Genomic DNA, 24,409 nt, shown 5'->3' on the forward strand with positions numbered 1-24,409 from the left:
ATCATACAGCATTTGGGAAACCCAAGAGGAATACAAACAGTAACCAATGCACCCAACCGTACTACAAATAAACAACTTTACCTCACTGAAGGGAGCAGAGAAGACAATTAATCTAAGTAACTTATAAAAGCTGTATTTTGACGGTATACTGTCACACTAATGACAAATGGAATTGTACACAAATACTTTACTTTTGTTGACAGATTCGCTTCTCAGGTATGGACTGACAATTCATAATTTATGTTTATACTAGGATTAAACAAATAGGTAAATATATTATAAATAACGAGAGTCGGGTTTTTCATTTTTAGAGAAATTAGCCACTAATAAGGAAATGAGGGAAGACTAGAATGAGCCCTGTGGTGTTGGACTGGAATCAGAAGTATCAGTATGAGCTAATGGTTTTGTGTGTGTGTGTGTGTGTGAGAGAGAGTGTGTGTGTGCACATGTTTTTTGGGTCTATTGCCTAGAAGTAATACCAATCCCAAGCAATGAACACACCTAGTATCTGGATTTTAGTTTCCAAAATCCAAATATCATTCCTCAGTAGAATGAACCAAAACTCCTTGGATAAATGATTGATTCCACAACTGAGCAAGAAATGTACAAGATAACAACCTGGACCATCCTGCTGTGCCAGAAGGTAAGAAGTTGCTGAAAGGGAGTTGGGAGCTTGTTAAAAGAACACAGAAGCCATCCTGAAGAAACTCTTAATAACCAAAACTGGAACAATTTGAAGAAAACAATGAACAATGCATTGGAATATATAGAATAAAATAAATATTCAGAGTGAATACTAATATAAATAATTAAATACATGTATAGAAGAAGAAAGGATTTACAGAAGAATTCTAATTAGTAAATGTAGAAGAACAAAGGGAATGGAAAGAGTATCATTTGTCAAACACCACATTGAATAGGTGTTATTGCATGCAAGATTAACCAATGGATGCAAAAATTAGTGGGTAAAAGTTTGAGGAAAACAAGATATTCTCATAGTCTCAAAATGCCTTCCCAAGGAGATTTACTAATTACAAAGGAAAAATAGTAACTTTATGTTAATACTAGAGAACCTGACAGATACCACCTTAACCAAGTAAGTAGACATACTGGCATCATAACCCCTGTGATATAATGAACAAAATTACTTCTGTGGCATTCTTACCAAAGTAATCTCAATCTCATGATAAGTAAATATTTAAACATCAAAATGAAGAGATATCCTACCGAATAACTGACCAGTACTCTTCAAAAGAAATTCATGCCTCTGAATTGGAATCAGGAACAGAATTAAAAAGTGCACCACTTAAAAAAATGATGAAATTCGGAAAGGTCTGTAGTTCAGTTTAGTAGAATTTCTCTAATGCTATTTTCCTGGTTTTGGTAACTGAACTATACAAGACGGTAACTTTAGGGGAAGCTAGGTTAAGATCCTACTATAAACAGGAGCTCTTTGTATTATTTTTGTAACATCACTGTAAGTCTAAAATCATTTCTAAATAAAAAACTTTAAAAAAAAATAGGCCGGGTGCGGTGGCTCACACCTGTAATCCCAGCACTTTGGGAGGCCGAGGTGGGCGGATCACGAGGTCAGGAGATCGAGACCATCCTGGCTAACATGCTGAAACCCTGTCTCTACTAAAAATACAAAAAAAAAAAAAAAATTAGCCGGGCGTGGCGGCGGGTGCCTGTAGTCCCAGCTACTCCGGAGGCTGAGGCAGGAGAATGGCATGAACCTGGGAGATAGAGCTTGTAGTGAGCCGAGATTGCACCACTGCACTCCAGCCTGGGGACAGAGTGAGACTCCGTCTCAAAAAAAAAAAAAGAAAAAAGAAAAAAATATATATACATATGTTTAGGGTCACAACATTTTCAGTAACACTATTAGATACCATGAAGGAATAATAAGCATAAAATATAGGCTAGTGGTGACATTTGAGAGTGACAGCATGGGAACTGGATTAGGGAGGGGCACACAGGAAGCTTCAAAGGTAATTTTAATATAACTGTTTTTAGAATGGCTGTGAATACATGAATGTTCATTGTTAACATGATTATTTTATATCTTCCATATATTTGATAATTTTTGAATCAATGGAATAGATTTAATAAATACAAATATGTGAGATTCTGACATAAAGAGTTTACATTAGAAATAGGCTCATTTGTAGCCATTTGAAATTGCATTGCATTAAATCAGAATACTCCTAAAAAGACCTTTCCATGTTACAATTTAAAGTGTTAGGTTTACTTATTCCTCCCTTTGGGGATTCCTAATGTGAGTTGGCTTGCATTTGAGCATAGTAAAACCTTGGCAATAATGCAGTTTAATCCTGAGTGTGGTATCAATGGAGAAAGGGGAGCAGTTGGATTTTTTTTTTTTTCTGCCTGTGGATACAATCTTAAGAAGAACAAATGGGAAAGAGTACTTCTTGGCACATATTGAGAAAAAAAAAAAACCTGCAGTGAGTCTCAAGATACCCAATTAAGATAAAATTAAATCATGCAAATATTGATCCAGTTAAATTTGCCATGGGTAAGCCTTATTATCAATCAAAATTTTTATATCAAATAGCAAAGAACTATAGAAAAGCCAAAATTATATATATATATAAAGAAATGAATGATATATATATATATATGTATATATATATCAGGGTATATATATATGTATATATATATCAGGGTATATATATATGTATATATATATCAGGGTATATATATATGTATATATATATCAGGGTATATATATATATATCAGGGGAACAGTAATAATAAAGAAAAACATATTTTATTTCACTTTTATTACTTGTGTTGGTAATTGACTCATAGTTTTGCTTTTGACTAATTATGCTTAAAATTTCAGACTCCTTCCCAGATGATTAGCATTCGTAGATAATGCGATACTCTCAAAAAACTAACATATTGCTTAAATAAGATGCACACAATTTTAGTCAACGTGCATATAACTAAATGCACAAAATGGACCACAGAATATCCACGAGCAACACAATGGCTCATGGCTCTGGATGTCCCTAGAAAATGACTACACATGAGTTCATGGATCAAAGTAATTGATGACAGTTTTATCACTGAAGTTATTCCTTGAGGAATTTAATACTGATTGATGTAGGCAAACATGTTTAATTCCACAAGTTTGAATGAATGCAAGTCTGAATTTTCTTTGTAAGTTTTTTTCTTCAATAATATGGTTTCCAAAAGCAAAGTCTCCATTGAAAAGTTTGCATTAAAGCAAACTCACAAAAAAACTCTTCCACAAGAAAAGTACAATTAGCCATGAATTTGCTTTATATTGTTTTCATTATTTAGGACATTATTCCAAGAGAGTTGATTGCTTTTAAGTCTACCAAATTATACACGCCCGTGTGAGTACAGACTGCATTAAAGCAGTCCTCTTTAGAGGTCACATTTCCCATTGATGCTGACCCTTCATCAAATGCTTTTGGAGTTCCTCTTTTGGAATTGTACTCAGAGCTTACAACACATTCAGGAAAATCCTCAGAGAATAACCTTAGTTCTTTGACAGTGGGTTTGATTTTCAAAAAGAAAGTTACGTAGCATTTGGTATAGTGATTAAAATGGGTGCTGAATCTGGTTAATGGAATTCTGAGCTAAACATGAGGCATGATTACAAATGATTGCTACTGCTCCACAGGACATTTAAGAAGGACTTTGCACCAATGGGACCTTTGTTAAAATGAGCATATAAACTTCCAAAGAACCTATCTTGAGGGACAATATTCATTTGTCTGCATAAGTTATGGCATTGACATTTTAACAAACAACACTTTATAATTCCTAGCAGTACAACGTTGAAGGCTGGTTAAGGTTTGCTGTCCCGAATGTGTCTCTGAGAGCCATTCTGTTTCTGCTAAGCTAGGGCTCTTTTCTGAGTCCTCTCAGCCACAGGGCGGGGCCGAGCCTCACGGTAGGCCCGCCTTTTTCAGCACCATCTCCCAAAATCTGCCCTGAGTTCCCACCTTTCTTCTAGCCTGCGTGGAAGGCTTCCTATGAAAGCTTCCCCTTTCTTCACACAGCCAGCAGCCTAGAGGCAGCAGGAAATCAAGACTGCTTCAAACAGGTGAAGAAGATGGCCGTGAAAGCCACAAGGTCATCCCCCTGAAGGTACTAATTTGTTGAAATTTTACTAAAATGAAATGGCTAACAAGTTCACTAAAGAAGACGTATAGCTGAGAGTCAACAGGAGCAGAGCCAGTGCTACTTTCACCCAAATAAACAAATGATATGCACACACCCCTCAGTTTCAGTAAAGAATCGGTTGGCAGAAGCTTTTCCTCTCCTGCCCTGACGGCGAGTTTTCTCCATAACTTGCTCCCGGGGTTCCCCTGCGGGTGTCCTCTCCCATCCAGACTGGCTGGCCATTCCCGGGACTAGACGGTGCTTAGGGCGATCGGGAGCTCTGATCCGGCCTGATTTTTCTGATCATCAGCTTCCTTTCTTTTTCATACTCTGATTCTAAAGATAAAGATAGAGCCAGTTTCTCCCCCTTTGGTGTTTCAAATTCCTTTCTCATGACTCTTCAGGCAGTACAGTGAAGAGATTAAGTGCACGACGTGGAATTCCGGCCTGTCTCCTTAATAGCCTTACGATCTACCTCACGGAAGTGTTATGAGGGTGGAATGAGTTAGTGCACATAAAGCCTGTAGCATGGTGCTTGGCCCAGAATAGGCCCTCAGCGAATGTTAGTTATTATGGTGATGATTAATACTTCAGTTTCTCTGTGCTCAGCAAACACCACCTCCCTGTGTGGGCACTGCATAATCCCCTCGCCACATATATTCAAGGTCCTACCCCTGTCTGCTTATGCTATGGTCTCTAAGGAGGAGCAATGGGGGATGCCTGTCACCTTCCAAGACTTTTATCTGAAACAGGCTTTATCTCGTTCTCTTTGGAGATTTTTCCCCGAGGCTCTTTTGTCCCCTATTTCAGAGCTTATTTTGCCTCCCTTTTGTGTTACATTTGCTTCTATAGGGGGGTAGAGTTGCCCTATTTACAAGAGTAGCTATCACCATGGTAACTTGGTATTTTGATACAGGCATGAAGCATTTCTGAGGGAAAAATAGGTCCCTTATTTTTCAGCTTTGGCATGTAGATGTATGGGAATCAAAATACTTGCCCAACATTATATATCTGGTTCAAATGTCAAAGCAAAGAAGCAAGTTTTGTGGATATTTTAAATAAGTATTGAGCAACCACAGCATGGTATCAATTGGGCAGAACATTCTCACAATTAATTCCTGCCGCTTAGGCATGAATGCCTGAAGGCAGCGTGGCGTATACTTTGGTGAACTCGTTCTCTGAATGAAAAAAATAATGGTACACATGGTTGGACAATAAAACATTGTGTTCACTCACATTGCAAAACGTGTCAGAGATGCCAGGTTGGAGTTTCTGAAATATTTTGATTGTTTTTTGAGAACAAACAAGACAGAACATTCTAAAATCAGCCTGCTGTTTAATGATCAGGGGAATGTGTTTACTGTATATGTCACTTACTTATACACTGGGCATGGAGTAAGGGAAAGACTGGTATTGGGTGTTGAGTGCCTACTGTGGGCCAGGTTCCCTGCTATGAGCTGCTAACATAGATGAATGAACTGTAATTCCTACCTTTGAGACTTTGCATTTGGTGAGGAAACAAATAATTATAATACAGTGTAATGTGTCTTGATAAAGATAGCTACAGAAATGATATGAGGGACAAGGAGGAAATAAGGCCTCATAGAGATGTACTCTGAACTGTTTTAAGGGTGAGCAGATGGTGAAATTAGAGGGTGTGGACTCTACCCCAGACTACTATAGAGTATCTTTCCAGAGCATGGACTTATTTTACTCTGCCAAACAAGGGCAACAGTAGTTTCTACTTTGGCATGTTCCGACAACCTAGGGATTCCGGGGACTGGGCTTGGAACTATTTTCAGTTCACTAAATGTGCCATATTTTTGCTTACCTTTGCTCATCTTGTTCCACCTACCTGAATTCTTCCTGTAGTACCACACCTCCTCTCCATCTGTCTTGTTGGTACATATCCTCTTACCCACTTTTGTGTCCTTCAGGCTTTGGCTGTGGTGTTTCTTCCTGGGGTAACCTTTGCAGACCCTCACAGAGGGCTTCGTTACTCCTATTTGCTCCTACAATATCCTCTACTTACCTTTCTATTAGTGCTTATAAACATTTTTTTTTCATTGCCTGTTTTCTGGCTTGGCTCATTCAATTCACTCACCCCGTTCAGTAGGAAACAATGCATATCATTCCGTTTTGTACTCCCAGAGCCTAACTTCATGCTTATTAAACAGATGTGTAAATGAATCAATGGAGAGACTTACTATTACAACTGCCCTTCAAGGGAAAGAACTACCTTGTCCCATAATGATGTTCTCTTGGATTTGTTATAGTCAGTCTTCTGCAAGGTATGGATGGCTAAACAAGATAGATGAAAATCCATGTTTATTTCACTTTGGGGGTAACATTTTATAATTTCGAACTTGTAGAAAATTTGCAAGTTTAGTATACGCAAAACCATAAATGTTTATGTGGATTTTAAAAATGGTTTTTATTTTATCCCAATTGCTTTACCATCTCTTTGTTCTTCCATTTCTCTGTACATATATGAACTTTTTTTTAAAGTCAATTCATCAATTATCTTTCTTTTTTTTATTATACTTTAAGTTCTAGGGTACATGTGCACAATGTGCAGGTTTGTTACATATGTATACATGTGCCATGTTGGTGTGTGGCACCCATTAACTCGTCATTTACATTGGGTATATCTCCTAATGCTATCCCTCCCCCCTCCCCCCACCCCACAACAGGCCCCGGTGTGTGATGTTCCCCTTCCTGTGTCCAAGTGTTCTCACTGACAAACGTTTTTTTAACCATTTGAGAGTAAATTAGAGACATCATGCCTTTTAACTTCTACATACTTTAGTGTGAATTTCCCATCAAAAAGACGTTCTTTTACTTTAAATCACAGTAAGATGATCAAAATCTGGAAATTTAATATTGATACAATATGAACAAATAATTAATAGTTTATACTTAAATTTCATCAATTGTACCAATAATGTTCTTTACAGCTATTTTCCCCAGTCCAGAATCCAATCAAGGATCACATGTTGCACATAGTTATCATGTCACCTTGAGTGTCCTTTAACGTGGAGCTATTTCTCAGCCTTTCTTTGTCCTTCTTGATCTTCATAGTTTGAAGAATACAGGAAAGTTATTTTGCAAAAAATCCTTCCACATTTGGCTTAGTCTAATGTTTTCTTGTAATTAAGCACAGGTTATGCTTTTTTTTTTTTTTTGCCAGGAATACTACAAAAATGAGGCTGCTGTATCTTTTCTGGTGCAGCATGTCAGGAAGCATACGACTTCAGGTTGTCCCAATATTGGTAATGTTAATTTTGACCACTTGGTTAAGGTGGTGTCTGCAAGCTTTCTCCACTGTAAAGTTTCTATATTTTCTTTGTAGGTAACAAGTGATTATACACACATATGTATATAAAGATGTTGTTAGATAGCAAGGTAGGAAGACAGATTATAAACAGATAGCCAGCCATGGACATAGAAGTAGATGTAGAGATGTACGTAGACATAGACATGGAAGTATAATTTCTGGATTTTATGTTGAAATGAATGTTTAGGTTTATGAGAAATTGCCACAGTGTTTTCCAAAGTAGCTGCACCATTTTGTATTCCCACAAGCAATGTATTAGACTTTGAGTTACTCCACATCCTCACCAACATTTTCAATATTTTGTTTTATTATTGTTAGTTATTTTAAAAGAAATGTAATAGTATCCCATTATTGTTTTCATTTTCATTTGCCTGAAGACTAATGAAATTAAATACAAAACTCCTTTATTACTTTTAGTTTTTTCACCATTTGGCTGTCCTCTTTTTCTTTTTCTTTTTTCTATTTTTATTATACTTTAAGTTCTGGGTACATGTGCAGAACGTGCAGGTTTCTTACATAGATATACACATGCCATGGTGGTGTGCTGCACCCTTCACCCCATCATCTACATTAGGTATTTCTTCTAATATTATCCCTCCCCTAACCCCCCACCCCCGGCAGGCCCTGGTGGGTGCTGTTCCCCCTCCCTGTGTCCATGTGTTTTCATTGTTCAACTCCCACTTATGAGTGAGAACATGCAGTGTTTGGTTTTCTCTTCTTGTGTTAGTTTGCTGAGAATGACAGTTTTCAGCTTCATCCATATCCCTGCAAAGGATATGAACTCATCCTTTTTTATGGTTGTGTACTATTCCATGATGTAAATGTGCCACATTTTCTTTATCCAGTCTATCATTGATGGGCATTTGGGTTGGTTCCAAGTCTTTGCTATTGTGAACAGTGCTGCAATAAACATACATGTGCATGTGTCTTTATGGTAGAATGATTTATAATCCTTTGGGTATATACTCAGTAATGGGATTGCTGGGTCAAATGGTATTTCTAGTTCTAGATCCTTGAGGAGTCGCCACACTGTCTTCCACAATGGTTGAACTAATTTACACTCCCACCAACAGTGTAAAAGCATTCCTATTTCTCCACATCCTCTCCAGCATGTTTTTTCCTGACTTTTTAATGATCGCTGTTCTAACTGGCGTGAGATGGTATCTCATTGTGGTTTTGATTTGCATTTCTCTAATGACCAGTAATGATGAGCTTTTTTTCATATTTGTTGACCGCATAAATGTCTTCTTTTGAGAAGTGTCTGTTAATATCCTTCACCCACTTTTTGATGGGGTTGTTTTTTTCTTGCAAATTTGATTAAGTTCCTTGTAGATTCTGGGTATTAGCCCTTTGTCAGATGGATAGATTGCAAAATTTTTCTCCCATTCTGTATGTTGCCTGTTCACACTTACGATAGTTTATTTTGCTGTGCAGAAGCTCGTTAGTTTAATTAGATCCCATTTGTCAATTTTGGCTTTTGTTGCCATTGCTTTTGGTGTTTTAGTCATGAAGTCTTTGCCCATGCCTATGTCCCGAATGGTATTGCCTAGGTTTTCTTCTAGGGTTTTTATGGTTTTAGTCTTACATTGAAGTTTTTAATCCATCTTGAGTTAATTTTTGTATAAGATGTAAGGAAGGGGTCCAGTTTCAGTTATCTGCATATGGCTAGCCAGGGCTGTCCTCTTTTGTGAATTGTCTATTCATAATTTTTGCCCATTTGGATTTTTTTCTGGTCATTTAATTATTGAGTTGTGAGAGTTATCTACTCTGTGTACAAGTTATTTGTTCACATATTTTGAAAATATTTTCTTCTGGGCTGGTATGCCCATTCATTTTCTTCACAATCTTCTGATGAGTAGAAAATTTTAATTTTGATGTAGCTTGCTTGTCATTTTTTTCCTTTTGTGGTTATTGCTTTCTGTATCTAAGAAGTATTTTCCTGCCTACTGTAAAGCTATTCTCATATGTTGCTTTCTAGAATATGCATAGTTTTATCTTTTCCATTTAACTCTATGATCAATATAGTGTTTACGTTATACTGTAGCCTATTAAGTGTGTAGTAACATTATGTCTAAAAATCAATGTACATACTTTAATTTTAAAATATTTAATTGCAAAAAATGCTAACGATCATCTAAGCCTTCAGCAAGCCATACTTTTTCTGTAGGTAGAGGGTCTTTTGTTTAACTTAAAGTGGAAACCTCCATTTTTAAAGAATATTTCAACTGGATATAGAATTCTGGATTGCCAGATTGCAGTTTTCTGCAGTTTGAAGATGTTCCATTGTCTTTGGCTCACATTGTTCCTGAAGGAAAGTTGACCTTAATTTATATCTTTGTATACAATGTGTCATTTTAATCTACCTGTTTTCAAAATGTTTCTCCTTATTGTTGGTTTTCAAAAGTTTTATTACAATGTGTCTAGGTGCAATTTTATGTTCTTAAACTTCTTAGGGGTCACTGAGTTTCCTGGATCTGCAAGTTACATATTTCACAAAACTTGGAAAATATCCTGACCCTTTCTGTCTCTCCTCTCTAGGACTTCAGTGACATATATGTTAGACCACTTGATGTCCCACATGCCACGGAGAATCTTCTTAAATTTTTTTCTCTCTGTTCTTCAAATTATATACTCCCTATTGATTTATATTTAAGCGTATTGACTCTTCTACCATCTCTAATATGCTATTAAGCCAATCAGGACATTTTTTATTTCAGATACTGTATCTTTAATTCTAAAATTTCTATCTGCTTCTTTCTCATACTTTCCATCTGTTAATGTATTACTCCACATTTTTCCTTAAAAACATTAACATATTTATAATAGCTACTTTAAGGTCCTTGTTCAATAATTCCAATATCTCATTTCTGTGAGAGTTGAGTACTATTAATTGCTTTTTTCTGGGCTATGTGACACATTTTTTCTGTTTTGGGGGCATATCTAGTAATTTGTTATTATATACTGAGCATTGTGGACGATACGTGGTAGAGATTCTGGATTCTGTTATACTCTTCTGAATGTATTTATTTTTGTTCTAGCAAGCAATTTATTATACTCTAAATTCCCTTCTTCCTGTGATGAACAATAGCTGAAACAAAACTTTCTCTCATTCTTCCAGTTCTTAATTCTAGTTAATCTTTTAGAGACTCCCTGTGTATGTTTAGATCAGCAAAGTTTATTCACACATTTTTGTGACATGTTCCTCTGACCTGGGACTTCTCAGTATTCTACCATCTGGCAGTCCTGATTCCTAACCTCTGACTTCTTGAATAAGACCAAGGCTTTCTGCTTATGCTTAAGTGGCTCCAGGCATGGGACTGGATGTGTCCTCAAGCAAAATGCTACATAAACAAAATCTCACCTAGTGCTCTTCTTTTTCAAAGACCAATCCTTCTCCAGTTTTTGCTTGCTTTTGATTTGTCCCCAGTGCTGATAGTTGCCTATAGTTTAGAATCATTATATAAAGGAAAGTTAGTCCTATATTAACTACTTTGCAGTTACCAAAAGTGAAATCTGCCAAAATGAACCTTATTATGCACTCAGGTCCTCTGCATGAAATAAGACAAAGATCCATTAATCAATTTATACCAGATATTAGGGATTCTGTCTAGATTTATTCTTTGTTTTCTAATATATCTTTGGGTAATTTTATCTGTAGCCATGACCTCCACTGACCCCTATTATCTCCTATATTAATGTCTTTTAAATCTTTAGCTTTAGACTTTATCATTCTTCTGTGATCCAAGTCTTGATTTCCAATTATCCTCCCATTCATATCCATAAGACAGCATTTTCTTTGTAAAATTTTGTCCATCCATGACCAGCAGAGACTGATACCCCAACTGTGTGTTCCTGAAGCAATGTATTTCTGCTTCGATCTAATCACTTGTCAATATCTAATTTCGATTTTAGGTAGTTTCATACACTCGTTTCCCCAAATATACTGTAAACTCCTTGATGCCATATGCCATGCCTTATTTATCTTCCTATCATTAGTGCCCAGATCAGTTATTTTATTCAAAAATGTTTGTTGAAAACAGATTTCAAAAGGAGCAAATATTTGCATCATTTTTGGCAATATAAAAGGATGCTATTGTCTCCCCCAAAAAAGCCGTTTGTTTCCTACAAAGTTAAAATGCTTAGATTTTCAGTAGGCCTCTCCAGGAGGCTTTGAGGAATATGAGAGAAGTGACACACTATGACCCACTGCTTGTAAGGACACTTTTAAAGACAAATATTTAATTTTGAATTTGATTAGATATTGATATTTACCTAACTCTTAGTAAAGGGGAAGTAAGCCTTTCTTTAAAAAAAGAAGTAATTCAATACATTCAAATTGTGAGTCGTATACACTCTTGGAAGTGTTGTATAATATGTTATCACTTTTTGATATAAATGTAAGGGGCTGCTCATGTGGAAAGTGGTCATTTTCCAAGCTCTCTCTTTCTCATAAAGAAGTAGTATAATAATAATAAAAATAGCACATGCTATATTTGTTGAATTCTTACTGTATATTTGAGGCATTGTCCAAAATGCTTCACCTATATTAACTCATCTAATACTCAGAACAATGCTACAGAAATGTATGGTTATTATTATTATTTCCTCAGTTGAAGAAATTGTGACTTAAGCAGTAGTAAGCTGAAGATATTTTACAGTCTTAGCTTTTGTGATCAAGAACAAACTCTATGGGTATAGAATATAATCCCTCTGCATACTTATTTCTGATACCTTTATTTTACCAACTCATTGCTCCTTCAATACCTTGTGTTTGCCTTTCAGCCATATCATGCATCATCATTTTACCAGTGACAAGTTACCTAAAATCCAATTTTTCTTTATGCTTACAAATACTCCCCAATTTCAGCAAATATTCTCTTTTCTCCATCACTGCAGTGAGCTTCTGTTTTGTCCTTTTAACTGTTGCACTTGCCTGTCATTAATACTCCTTTTGACTTGAAGAAATCATCTTTTTCAATCATAAGAACCTGATGAAGCAATTTATGTCCCCAAAACAACAATCCTCAAGTTGTTTTTAGTTGGCTGTTCTTCGTGTGAATTATGTGTAATGGTATATTGATGTTAGCTGATATCTAATAGGGATTGGTTTGACACTACCAATCTCATTTCTTTTAGGTACTTAGGTCCTTAGGTCCTAAGACCTGAGTGGAGATGATAGGACCTTTGTTTTTTTGGTTTATCGTGTCACCAGTTGCTTAATATTTGAGGTTTACTTTTTATAAAAAATACAGTAAAAAATTTTTGCAGCTTATAAGATATTCTTTACTTGGTTATAGGGAAGTGGTACTATTGCTGAGCTCATGAAGAGCAATTAAATAACAATAATTCACTAACATTTCAAAATTAGGCATCATCGTTTTTCTCACATTAAAACTAGTATAGTTAGTCTTAAGTAGCTCATCATTTTGTTATGGGGAGATTTGTACACATTTAAATCAGTGTTTTAGTTAAATGTAAATTAGTATTTTTATTTTAAACTGCAAAGAGCTGGCACTCACTCAGAAATATGGAAATGGCAACCAATAAAAGGAAAATGGTTTTCTTCTCTGAGATACCTATATGAGAAAATATTGTTAACAATAATGGGAGTGAGTTGTTCACATGGAGAGGGCATTATGCCCACAAGTACTCTTGAGGCAACATGACAAACTTGCCTGTTTCTAAAGTTCTGATTTATGTAGTGCCTTATTCACTGTGCAACAATATCAGTCTCTGAAGTGCATCCTATAATTATACCAGCAATAACCATTTCTTTTTGTTTATAAAAATAACAGTGAGTGAAGAGCTGAGATGTAATTTCCTGAAGCAAAGATCTTGAAAATTGATAACATCTTTGTAACTCTTCATGTATCATTTTCAAATTCAGTTCATAAGGTCAATATTTGTTTGTTAATGAGTTCTCAACAATGTCAGCCCAGAAAGTGACAGAAAATCACACGTATATCTAATGAATATGTAAAAATATCAAAATATAATGTCAATTCAATTATTCACAGTAATTGAAGGATTAAGATGTCCTATTTCATTGTGTTTTCTGGTTACATGAAACTTGATCCATTTGTGCTAGATGTATGAACCAGTTAACTTACTATGTCTCATTGAGTTACTTACTATGTCACTGAGTAGACATTAACCAACCACAAGTCTTCAATTTAGAAATCAAAATATCCATTGTACGGTCAATATTCTTTGAGAAAGTATGACAAAAACAGAAACGTAAAGATTCTACCAAATACCATAAGTATAAAAGAGTAATGGCCCAGAAAAATGATTTTCATTATTTCAAATATAAATTTAACTCAAAATTTGATGCAAAAAAGTTTTGGAAAACAACTAGATAATTTTGAATTTATGTAATCTTATTTAAAGAGGTGGTGATAAAAATGCAAATATGAAATTGGCTCTAGCTCTCTTTAGCTAACAGAATAAATCTTAGTTGAATCATTTATCCCCCTTTATACATATTCATATTCTTGCTGTAGCCTGAAAACTCAGAGGTAAAAAAGTAAGGCCTTTAGAGGTATCTAGGACACAATTGGCAAACAGATTAAAAGTCATAATAGTTGGCAAAGTGCCTTCTTCACGTCTCTTTCTCATTGCCTATGCTTATCTCCATATGGTGCCTCTGTTTCAAGCTAGGCACTATCTCGTCTTCCCCAAATGAAGCAGAATCAAATTTATATTTCATTTTAATCTGCTTATTCTAAGAAATTAATGCCACCTGCCCCACATGCAGACTGACATGCCTTCGTTTGGGTGAACTGTTAACATAATATCTGACTTTCCCTTGTCAGATGACATATTTATTTTTTGGTTTTCTTATGTAAGAGAGACTATGTTTACTAGAAACTTTTCTACCATCCCTTTATGACAGTTGACTGGTATTATGTACATAAATCAAACATTTAAATTAAATTTACTTTTCATTTTGCAAGAAATTCCTATGCCAGACTCTGGGGATTATGAACCAATTAACCTTTCTTGATTTCTCTTGAATACTTCTTGGTTCCTATTTATATTTCTTAGCACTCCTGTGGTCATAGGTTTAAAAAAATCACCTGAATAGTTTTAAGCAAAGAGTCCAATTTAGTGCAAGGACTTAGAGTTCTCTTTTGTAAGCTATACACAGCAATGGGGTTGGCACTGAGGAATGTCTGAGAAAGAGGCACTGGACTGCCTGCCTTGAAAAACTCAGCTGTCTCCTATCATTTCTGCGTCTCTGTGCAGTTGCTGAGTCTCCAGTTGCAGACCAGCTCTTTTTGTTCAGTTCATATGATGGAAAATGGCTATTGAATAACTCCATGTTCGTGTTGCCTTCATTAAGAGATGAGCATGACAGAGTTGAAGCCTTGCTTGCAACTACATATTTTCAGAGTCAAACTAGGATCAGCTGCATATACTTTGGCCTGAAAGCTGAATCATGTCAGACAAACATAGCTGTTGCTGTGGTAAACCATGTAAATGGTGGGAGGACCTTTGAAAGCAATACAAGATGCCTTGATTTTAACTCTTATATTAATTATATGAAGTTTTGACTTACCAAAGAGATAAATTAGGTTGATCACTTCTATTCATCAATTTTTAGTATCTATCAATGATCAATTAAATATCATTCAAATAAATCTAGAGCTGTATTTAAGGGAAAGTTAGATTTGGCTTTGGCTTGTAATCATGCCTTTTAAATCCTACTGCTTATGATCCAGATATATTAATAATATTTGCCCACTTGGAATCATATTTACTAGGAAGCCAGATAATATATTCATGCATTTTTTATTTTAGAGATAAATAATACTATGCTGCAATATTGCTGAAAATGCAAGTACATAGGTTCACATGTAGTTGTAACTCTAAAATATTAATTGTTGACCCTGGCACTCTTCTCTGATGTAATGTGGTTCATACTCATTAGGTCCAAAGGCAGGCATGATAGATGCATTGCTGAGATCATGGTGCCCACGAAGCCAAGGTCATAGGTGTAAGCTCTCTATGGGCCAGGTTTTCTGTAGAAAAAAAATGAAAAGCCAGCATCTCAAGTCTTATCTCTTTTTTGGATTAACACATACCATTAAACAGGAGGTATACTGATGGTAATATTAAATAAACCAAACCAAAATGCATGTCCTCCTTATTGTACCTAAGATCAACTTCATATATAAAGGGAATTTATTTATTTAATCAAAAGAATATCTTGGTTCAAGAGCATATTCAGCAAAATCATATACTCCGGCCTTTATGGAAATAGGTCCTCTTTACTTTCAACTATTCATCTATAAAATGTATAGGTATGTTGTGAAATAATTGTTTAGTCATCAACATGACCAATATAAATCATAATATGTATTATTCCTGAACCCCTATAGCATGTCCTGAATATTATGATTTTGCTACAATAAGTAGCTCTCTGTTTGAATATACTTAATTCCAGTTCTTAGGTTGGAAAAAAAGAAAGAGAGAAAAGGAGGGAGAGAGAGAAATATTGACTATGTTAGAAGAAAAGTAGTCTTGAGGCCCAACATTGTGGCTTTTACTTTGAGAGATTAAACATCTTGTAATTCTAACCCGTTTCGGATGCCCGAAGTCACTAAGCTATGAAACTGACTGATGAATCAATGATTGTTTCAGGAAAAGCAAGCTTCACGTATTTGGGATTTAAACAAAATGGCATGACACCTCAATGCATATTTTCTAAGAAATTTGAAATTATACCTAACTAAGACTTTCCAAACCCGATAAGTATTTATCAGAACTTGTTGACTTGAAGGCCATGGTATATTAGCAAATGGTGATAATTTTAGGTAGCTTTGATTGAAGAGCTTATTTGAGATCCATGTGAACAGTCTCACTGAAATAACATAAATTAAAGAAAGAAAATATGTTATCAGCCAGTAAATACAGTTTTTCTCTCACAACTGTGAAATAGTGAGATGACTGGCCTGTTTATATTCTTTTCATTCTAACAAATACACGTAGGATAAAATACACCAAATACTATTATGATTCCTCTATTAATACCATTTTCTTTACTTATATCAGTTGTGCTGAAGCACACACATTCACATGCATATGGTCATTCTAAGGTCTGTTTTCCTTCCTGGTTCTGTCGGCTTCCATTTTAGGTCGTTTATGCTGCTGTCTGTATCGATGTCTGTCAAACTAGCCAGTAGGTTGTGTCAGTTAACTCCATATTGCCTTCTGAAATGATTCTGAGAGCAATCTGAGTGCCATTTTTGCTTTGAGGTACAGATTTCTTTTCAAACCAATGAAGGTTCCATTACTGCAAGGAATAGATTTCTTTCTCTATCAGAATCAGAGTGGTTTATTGTCTCTTTGATACTGCAGGATTTTCTTTCAGAGAACTTTTTCTATTTTAGCAGGATATCCCTTTCTTGCCCTAAAGATCAGCTATTTTCTAAACCAGCATCTCCCTTAAAGGGCAATATACTAATTTTAATAATACATTTATTAGATAAAACATCATCTCTGTAAGCATTGAAACATCCTATTAATATTAACATACAATGAAATAGTCACACAGCTGTGTTTTCTTTGGTCCTTGACCCCAGGATTTTTGGAACCAGTAATTAATTAAATTAACTAATCAATTAACTAATTTGGTACAAGAGTCTGGAACAGAGTCGTGTCTGCACTGGAAGCAAGTGGAAGATTTTATTTGGGCCCGGCAGACTCCATAGAACTACCACTGTGACTACTCAAGAATGTCAATTGATGATATCTTTCCTTTATTTCAAATTCCTACTCAGCTTTTTATAACCCAAGACATAAAAATCTAAATTCTTTAGCATACTACACAGGTCTGAGTATGATCTGAAACTGCCCCAACTTCCAGCAAACTTCATTCCTTGCTGCTCTACCCTCCAGTGCTTTACTTGACCATTCCCAGAACATGCCTTGAGATCACACCTTGATGTTTTTGTATTATGCTGTTCCCTTTGTGAATGTTCCTTTTTTCCCCCTTGGGTTTGGGAAACTTAGCCTTCCACACTCATAGTAAGTATTGCCATGTGTATTAGTCCATTCTCACACTGCTATAACGATACACCTGAGACTGGGTGATTGATAAAGAAAAGAGGCTTAATTGGCTCACAGTTCTTCAGGCTGTAGAGGCTTCTGCTTCTGGGGAGGCCTCAGGAAACTTCTAGTTATAGAGGAAAGCAAAGGGGAAGCAGACACATGTTCACATGGCTGGAAGGAGAGACAGAGAGAGAGTGAAGTGGGAGGTGCTACATACTTTCACATAACCAGATCTTATGAGAACTCTATCACAAGACAGCATAGGGGGATAGTGCTAAACCACTGGAAACCACCCTCATGATACAATCATCTCCCACTAGGCCTACTTCCAACGCTGGGGATTACAATTTGACATGAGATTTGGGTGGGGACATAGAGCCAAACCATATCACCATGACAAGGGGGTAGGCCAGATGAAGTCAGATATTCATTTCAATAGCTCCAGTAGAATTGGGTCCATTCCACTATGGTACTGCCTTGTGTAGTGTCTGGCCACATGACTTATCTCTACATTAGACCAGAAAGTCTTTGAGGGCAGACTACAAGTCTTAATGACCTTTATAGACTTGTGCTTAGCATGGTGCTTGGCACACAACAGATGTCCAATCAGTCTCTATTGTTCAATGGCTATCTTTCTGGGCTAAAGTACAATGTGAAATACATTTTCTTTATTCATTATAGTTTCTTATGCAACTAAATTTGTCTCTTAAGAATTAAAAAGCAAGTTATTTTTTCATTTCACATTTAAAGGATTAAACTTAACAAAGCCCTTTTAAGAAGGCTTCACTAAAACTTGCACTCATTGATTTATGTGAATTGCTATATTATTCTGTTGCACTATAAACACAACTGTAATATTGACAGAAAATAGATCATCAAGGGAAGTCCAGATGTGTTTGGTTTTATGTTTTTCATTTCACTTCTTCTTGACAATAGAAGACAGAGTTGAAGGGATAGACTCAATGCTTAGACTTACACTAATGAACAATTGCTGTGATAACCATCAGTCAAGGTTAGAAGATCAAAATTAATATCTATATACATTTACATTCTACAAAGGTCTTTTATATACCTTTTCCTTTTTGCCTCTCATAATAGCCTTTTAAATTAAATAGACAAGCAGACATTGTTATATGCTCATTGTACAGATAAGGATGCGGATGCCATGGTGCATATTCATGAGTAACTGACGATTCTGGGACACAAATGCAGGGCTCCTGGCTGAAAACCTTTCTCTTTCACTACACTGCACAGCATCCTTTATTCTGTGAATCTGACTACCTACAGATTCCTTTTAATAAGTAAAACCATCTATTTCTCACTCACACTTTCATAGCTGATGTATTTTTCTTTCTTATACTGTTTTCCCCTCCCTCCCTTTTGTTTTCTCCAAGACAGAATCTCACTCTGTCACCCAGCCCAGAGTGCAGTGGTGCTATCACAGCTCCCTGCAGCCTCAATGTCCCAGGCTCAAGCCACTGTCCCACCTCAGCATCCTGAGTAGCTGAGACTTCAGACATGTGTCATCATGTTCTGCTAATTATTTTATGCTATTTTTTGTAGAGATGGGGTCCCACTGTGTTGTCCAGACTGGTCTCAAACTCCTGGGCTCAAGTGATCCTCCTGCCTTGGCTCCCAAAGTGCTGGGATTGGCATTACAGGCTGAGCCACTGTGCCGCCCCTCTCCTCCCTTTTGAATTACTTCAGTTATTTCTGCCTGGGCTCAAAAAAACTTGAGGTAGGAGACTGGCATTTTGTTATGAAAGTAAAACACTCTCAAGTTTTAGAGATATTCTAATTCAAAAGGAAACTTTAGTAATGCCAACTGAATGTGCTGGTAAAAAGATGTGCAAGCAAAATAGTTACATTCATTCATATTCAAAATATGAGTAAACTTCATATGAGGATAGCCAACATCCTCAAATTTCATTTTATTTCTCTTTTCTGGGAACATTAACAGAATTGAAATTGTGGGGTCAACTTTCAAATACATTAAAAGCTTGAAATTTTACCAAAACATGCAAAATTTACAACTGAAGTTTGAAATTTTGCTATATTAGAGGTAAAAATCCATCTTTATGAACATTTTATTATAATTAAAATAAAGACATTTAAAAGAAAATGTAGCGGTTCAAAATCTGGATCGTAGAATTAGACATGACTAAGTTTTTTTTCCAAACTCTGTAATTTACTATGTGATTTTAGGCAACTTACATATATACTTTTTGAACCTTAGTTTACTCACCGGTAAGACAGGTTGAGGTTTGGATCATATTAGATAATTTCTGTAAAGCATATCAGTAACAAAAACATGTGCAAAATAAAAGATTGTTATTGTTATGACATTAGGCTAATTTATCCCTTTGTTCGTTTTAATACACCATTTTAGGGTCTCAGGTACCATTGATATGCACCTCTGAATAACATGAAAATAACCTACACACTCAATCTTCTAATCTAACTTTCTTTTCTAAATTCTCTTCCCTATTTCTCTCAAAGGCCTGTGAGCTGCACAACACAATGGTAGGATTATAAGTGAGCCAAGGATGTAGGAACTACATTTCAAGCTTTCTTCGACATAAATTGAACTAATGGTCAATTATTTTAGGTTCTCAAGAAAATCAATAATTTATTTTTCATTCCAGAAAGATTTTATGCAGCTCCAGATAGTCAGAAAATCATCCGCTATGAATGGTGAGGCAAGTTTTTATTTAATTTTGAAAACACCAAAATATTTTTTTAACTTCTTTAAAAATATAGGCATATGATATGGTTTGAATATGTGTCTCCATACAAATATAATATTAAGTAATTTCCAATGCTGCAGGTGGGGTCTGGTGGGAGGTGATTGGATCGTGGGGGTGGTTTCTCATGGCTTAACATCACCTCCCTTTTTGCTGTCCTCGCGATAGTGAGTTCTTGTGAGATCTGCTTGTTTGAAAATGTGTGGCACCGCCCCCATCTCTCTCTTCCTTGTGCTCCGGTCATGTGAAGTGCTGGCTCCCCCTTCGCCTTCCACCAAGATTGTAAGTTTTCTGAGGCCTCCCCGGAAGCCAAACAGATGCCAGCATTATGCTTCCTGTACAACCTGCAGAACCGTGAACCAGTTAAACTTGTTTTCTTAATAAATTACCCAGTCTCAGGTATTTCTTTATAGGCAATGTGAGAATGGGCTTATACAGCATACCTTTTGAAAACCACCCACATAGTATTCATAAATTGAATATATAATTTGAATATATTATCCATATTTATAGACCATGTTTGTCCTCATACACTTGTATCATTGTGAATTATAATAGATAATTCTTATCTCTGACATCAACATTTTAAGGTGATAAAATGTTATGGGAAAACAAAATGAATCAACCTTTGGATTATCTTTTTCAATCAAAAGCATTTTTGAGAGCACTGAAATTAAAGCAAGTTTTAAAAGATGCTACTTGTGACTATTAAGTAGGAATTATTAATAATTATACTATACCCTTTCACTCTAGTAAGTTATACTTGATTATGTTCTAGATATTTCCCTTATCTTGAGAAAGTGAAACCTCTACATTTTTTTTAAATCACCTCACCATCAAGTACTGAACAGCACAGTGTTATAGCATCGCTTAATTTCTGTGTGTGTAATCTAGCAGAATTTAAGACAATACACGCCAATTAACTGGTATAGAAGCATGCAGGTATAAGCAAATCGTGCCTGCTAAATTGGGATATTCGAAGGAAAGCAAAAGTATTTTTAGCAAGGAATTCAAATGTTCAAATGGTATAATATTTACAGTCTAGGTAGAAAGAATGCTATCACATTTTAAAAATATATCCCTAGAAGTTTATACAAAGTACCTATCTCTATCTGTCAGGAGAATGTTTGTGGGCCTTCTGGATCAGATGAATTTTCTTTCTTCCTGTGTGTTTTTGGGAATGCATTCTGCATTTCCCATGTCTTTTATTTCCTGGGCTCCTTCCTCTCAATTTGGCTCTACATGATGGCCTAGTGAGTTTCCCCACGTTTTCTTCCTTGCAGCTACCAAATCAAGCACACATGTTCTTCCATAGATGAACTAATCACTGTGGGTAAACCCTGGGAGTCATAAAAATAACTGCAATTTCAGATAGCCTGGGGTCTTGGTGTCCTTAAGAGCTACATTACTTCTATTTCAATCTGTCACTCCCCACTGCACTAATATTCCTGCTGAATCTCTACCTGATTTCTACAATGCACTAGAAACACACGAAAGGAGAAACAGCAAAACAAAACCCCCAAAACCTCCTACGTGACCTTTATAGTAGAAATGGAGGGGGTGGTTTTTATCCAGCACTGCAGACACATTGAAAGTGAGTGTAAAATGGCCTGATGTCGAACTTTCCCATGCTGTTATTTAGGCATCACTGCTTTCATTCACCTCCACACTCTTCCTGTGCGTTGCAGATGTGGCCCTTGAGCTCACCTCTTTTCACATTGCCTCATTCCCAATAAGTCAAGGACTTCTTTGTCTAGTCATTCCCTAGACAAAGACTTCCTTCCTGGGAGTTCTTATACTATGTGGTTTAATTTTGTTTTTACTATACTGCAACATTAAATGGCTAAGTTACCAAAGTTAAAAACAGATTAATAAGCATGCACTATGGTGTGCCTCTCAGGACCTTCTGGAAAACTGAAAAATGTGCTTTCCCATTTCTGATAGTACTGCTGGCAGATGGCCCTCAGTTGTCAGCCCTCTTCTAGGGTTGCCTCCCAAGGCTAAAACCTTCCTAGGGCTGCACACATCCAGTGGCATATCTATACTGGGCTATATAGGCGTGTCTGCAACCCCACCCTTGGGCTTCAATTTGGGACCACCCTGAAGGACCAATATAGTTTTCTAGTTTCCTCAGGTATCAGTTGAGAACCTTTGTTGACACTTCATGGCAGCCCAACTTCTCCCTCTACCTAATCTGGCTTCTTTCCCTTTCTTTCCACAAACATAAATCCTTAAATTATTCATGATAAACTTTCTGCACGCTAATCTCAATCTCAGTATGCTTCCTTTGGAGCCCATCCTGGGACAGGTTCTTAATTAGTGTTCCTCCATATGGTTACCAACTGTCTAAATCAGATGAGACCCCAACAATACTTTTAGGCAAATCCAGACTCGCTCTTCTCTTGGGTAATCCTGCATGGCGGGTTCAGTTGCTCAGACTGTGGTCTTGGGTATATTGGTGTGGGAGCCAGGCAGTATTTTCAAAAGGTCCCTAGAAATTCTAATATGTAGTAAGTTTAGGGATCACTGGCCAATAAGCTCAACCATTATCCATCAAGTCCTTCCACCTTCCTGGATGCCTCTTATTGTAAAGAACCCTTGCCAACTCTTTGGAGCTTTTTCTTGTGCTTTATTTGGACAATAGTTTTGTTTTATGCTCATTTGAGGAGCCATGTTTTTTCCACCCTGAGACTAATGAGTGACTTCAGTCTCCTTGGCTCCCATTATAGTTCCTCCATTCTTCAAGGTCACTACATGATTTATTCACATATTGCATCTTTCCTAGAGGACTAGTCACGTGAGAAATAAGGTTTGACAATAGAAGAATCAATTTAACATGCAAAAACAGTAAAAGACAGTATCCTTCAAAGGACAAAATAGCAGTTTGTCACACCATTTAATAATTTTGTCTCACCATTAAGAAGTCATAATTACAATAAATTATTGCAACTGCAAGAAAAACAAAATCAACAAGCAAACATATCCTGGAACAAAAGAACAAATGAATAGCTCCATCTCTGACCTGTTTCTCTGGGTTGTGCCATCAGTACATTCTGAGATAGCTAAGTATTGGCTTTTAGTTTGTAGGAGAGATACATACATACATAGCTGAGGTTTCAATCTAAGTAGCACCTTTTTTTTTTTTTTTTTTTTGAGAAGGAGTCTCGCTCTGTCGCCCAGGCTGGAGTGCAGTGGTGCTGTCTTGGCTCACTGCAAGCTCTGCCTCCCGGGTTCACGCCATTCTCCTGCCTCAGCCTCCCGAGCAGCTGGGACTACAGGCACCCGCCACCACGCCCAGCTAATTTTTTGTATTTTTAGTAGAGACGGGGTTTCACCGTGTTAGCCAGGATGGTCTTGATCTCCTGACCTCGTGATCCGCCCGTCTCGGCCTCCTAAAGTGCTGGGATTACAGGTGTGAGCCACCGTACCTGGCCAAGTCCCACCTTTTTTATGATACATATGCCATTTTTCCAAGTTATTGATTTAATATTTAAAACCTAACATTTATACAGCCTTTTCCAGTTTATAAAATACCTTCACATCAATGGTCTCATTTCACATTCTTCAGTTGTGCTAAATGATTTCATAAACTTGATGATACTGGTATTAAGTTCTTGTAAAGAATGTGATTCTGATTAACGAAAGCAATTAGATATATTTGCTTCTATGCCCTGTATATCCAGTTATTAAAGTTTAATGTTGCATGATGACCTAATTTCTGAAAGATTCCTATACATGCAGCCAAAGGGTTTAAGAGGAATGATACTATTAAGAAGGGAAATATTAGAAAGTAGATATAGAATTAGGTGAGCCAGGCTAAAATAGATGGTTCTGCTAACATAGCTGAGTTATTAAATCTGCACTTTTTATGCCAAAGTCCACAAGGAAAATCTCCAGAGTAATAAAGTTTGATCTCTTTAGGATCTATCACTTCCAGGCAATTTAATCGATTTTCAGAATTTCTGTGTTTCCAAGTTTCCTGGATGTACTTGGATATTCTTCCAGAGCTGGCAATTAAGGAAACAAAGTTAACAGGTGCTGAAGCATTCTGGAAACTGGGACCAGAAATCAAGTACAATTCTACTTCCATAAACTTGACTATAAGGGCCAA

At 36.4% G+C, this 24,409-nt stretch overlaps 1 protein-coding gene and 1 long non-coding RNA gene across 2 annotated transcripts in view, besides 2 other annotated features; one reads left to right on the forward strand and one right to left on the reverse strand.

Annotated features, from left to right (window-relative positions):
* Positions 3,339-6,648: an enhancer, noted in NCBI's record as "VISTA enhancer hs1636". NCBI's record gives its function as "enhancer in: forebrain[5/7]" and the evidence as "EXISTENCE:transgenic organism evidence [ECO:0001131][PMID:17130149]".
* Positions 3,675-4,874: an enhancer, noted in NCBI's record as "BRD4-independent group 4 enhancer chr18:25501241-25502440 (GRCh37/hg19 assembly coordinates)". NCBI's record gives its function as "activates an origin of replication core promoter dependent on BRD2, P300/CBP, MED14 and CDK7 cofactors, and independent of BRD4, by STARR-seq in HCT116 cells {active_cell/tissue: HCT116}" and the evidence as "EXISTENCE:reporter gene assay evidence [ECO:0000049][PMID:35650434]".
* Positions 3,992-24,409, forward strand: part of CDH2-AS1 (CDH2 antisense RNA 1) — a 42,099-nt gene continuing 21,681 nt past the window's right edge. The window contains exon 1 of the long non-coding RNA NR_199051.1: positions 3,992-4,146. This is a non-coding gene — a long non-coding RNA (CDH2 antisense RNA 1). The remainder of the gene's footprint in view (positions 4,147-24,409) is intronic.
* Positions 15,277-24,409, reverse strand: part of CDH2 (cadherin 2) — a 244,252-nt gene continuing 235,119 nt past the window's right edge. Inside the window, exon 16 of the mRNA XM_017025514.3 lies at positions 15,277-15,522. Within this exon, the coding sequence (XP_016881003.1) occupies positions 15,490-15,522 (33 nt within the window). The 3' untranslated portion in view covers positions 15,277-15,489. The remainder of the gene's footprint in view (positions 15,523-24,409) is intronic.

The sequence above is a fragment of the Homo sapiens genome, chromosome 18, assembly GCF_000001405.40.
Source record: "Homo sapiens chromosome 18, GRCh38.p14 Primary Assembly".
Classification (NCBI taxonomy): domain Eukaryota; kingdom Metazoa; phylum Chordata; class Mammalia; order Primates; family Hominidae; genus Homo; species Homo sapiens.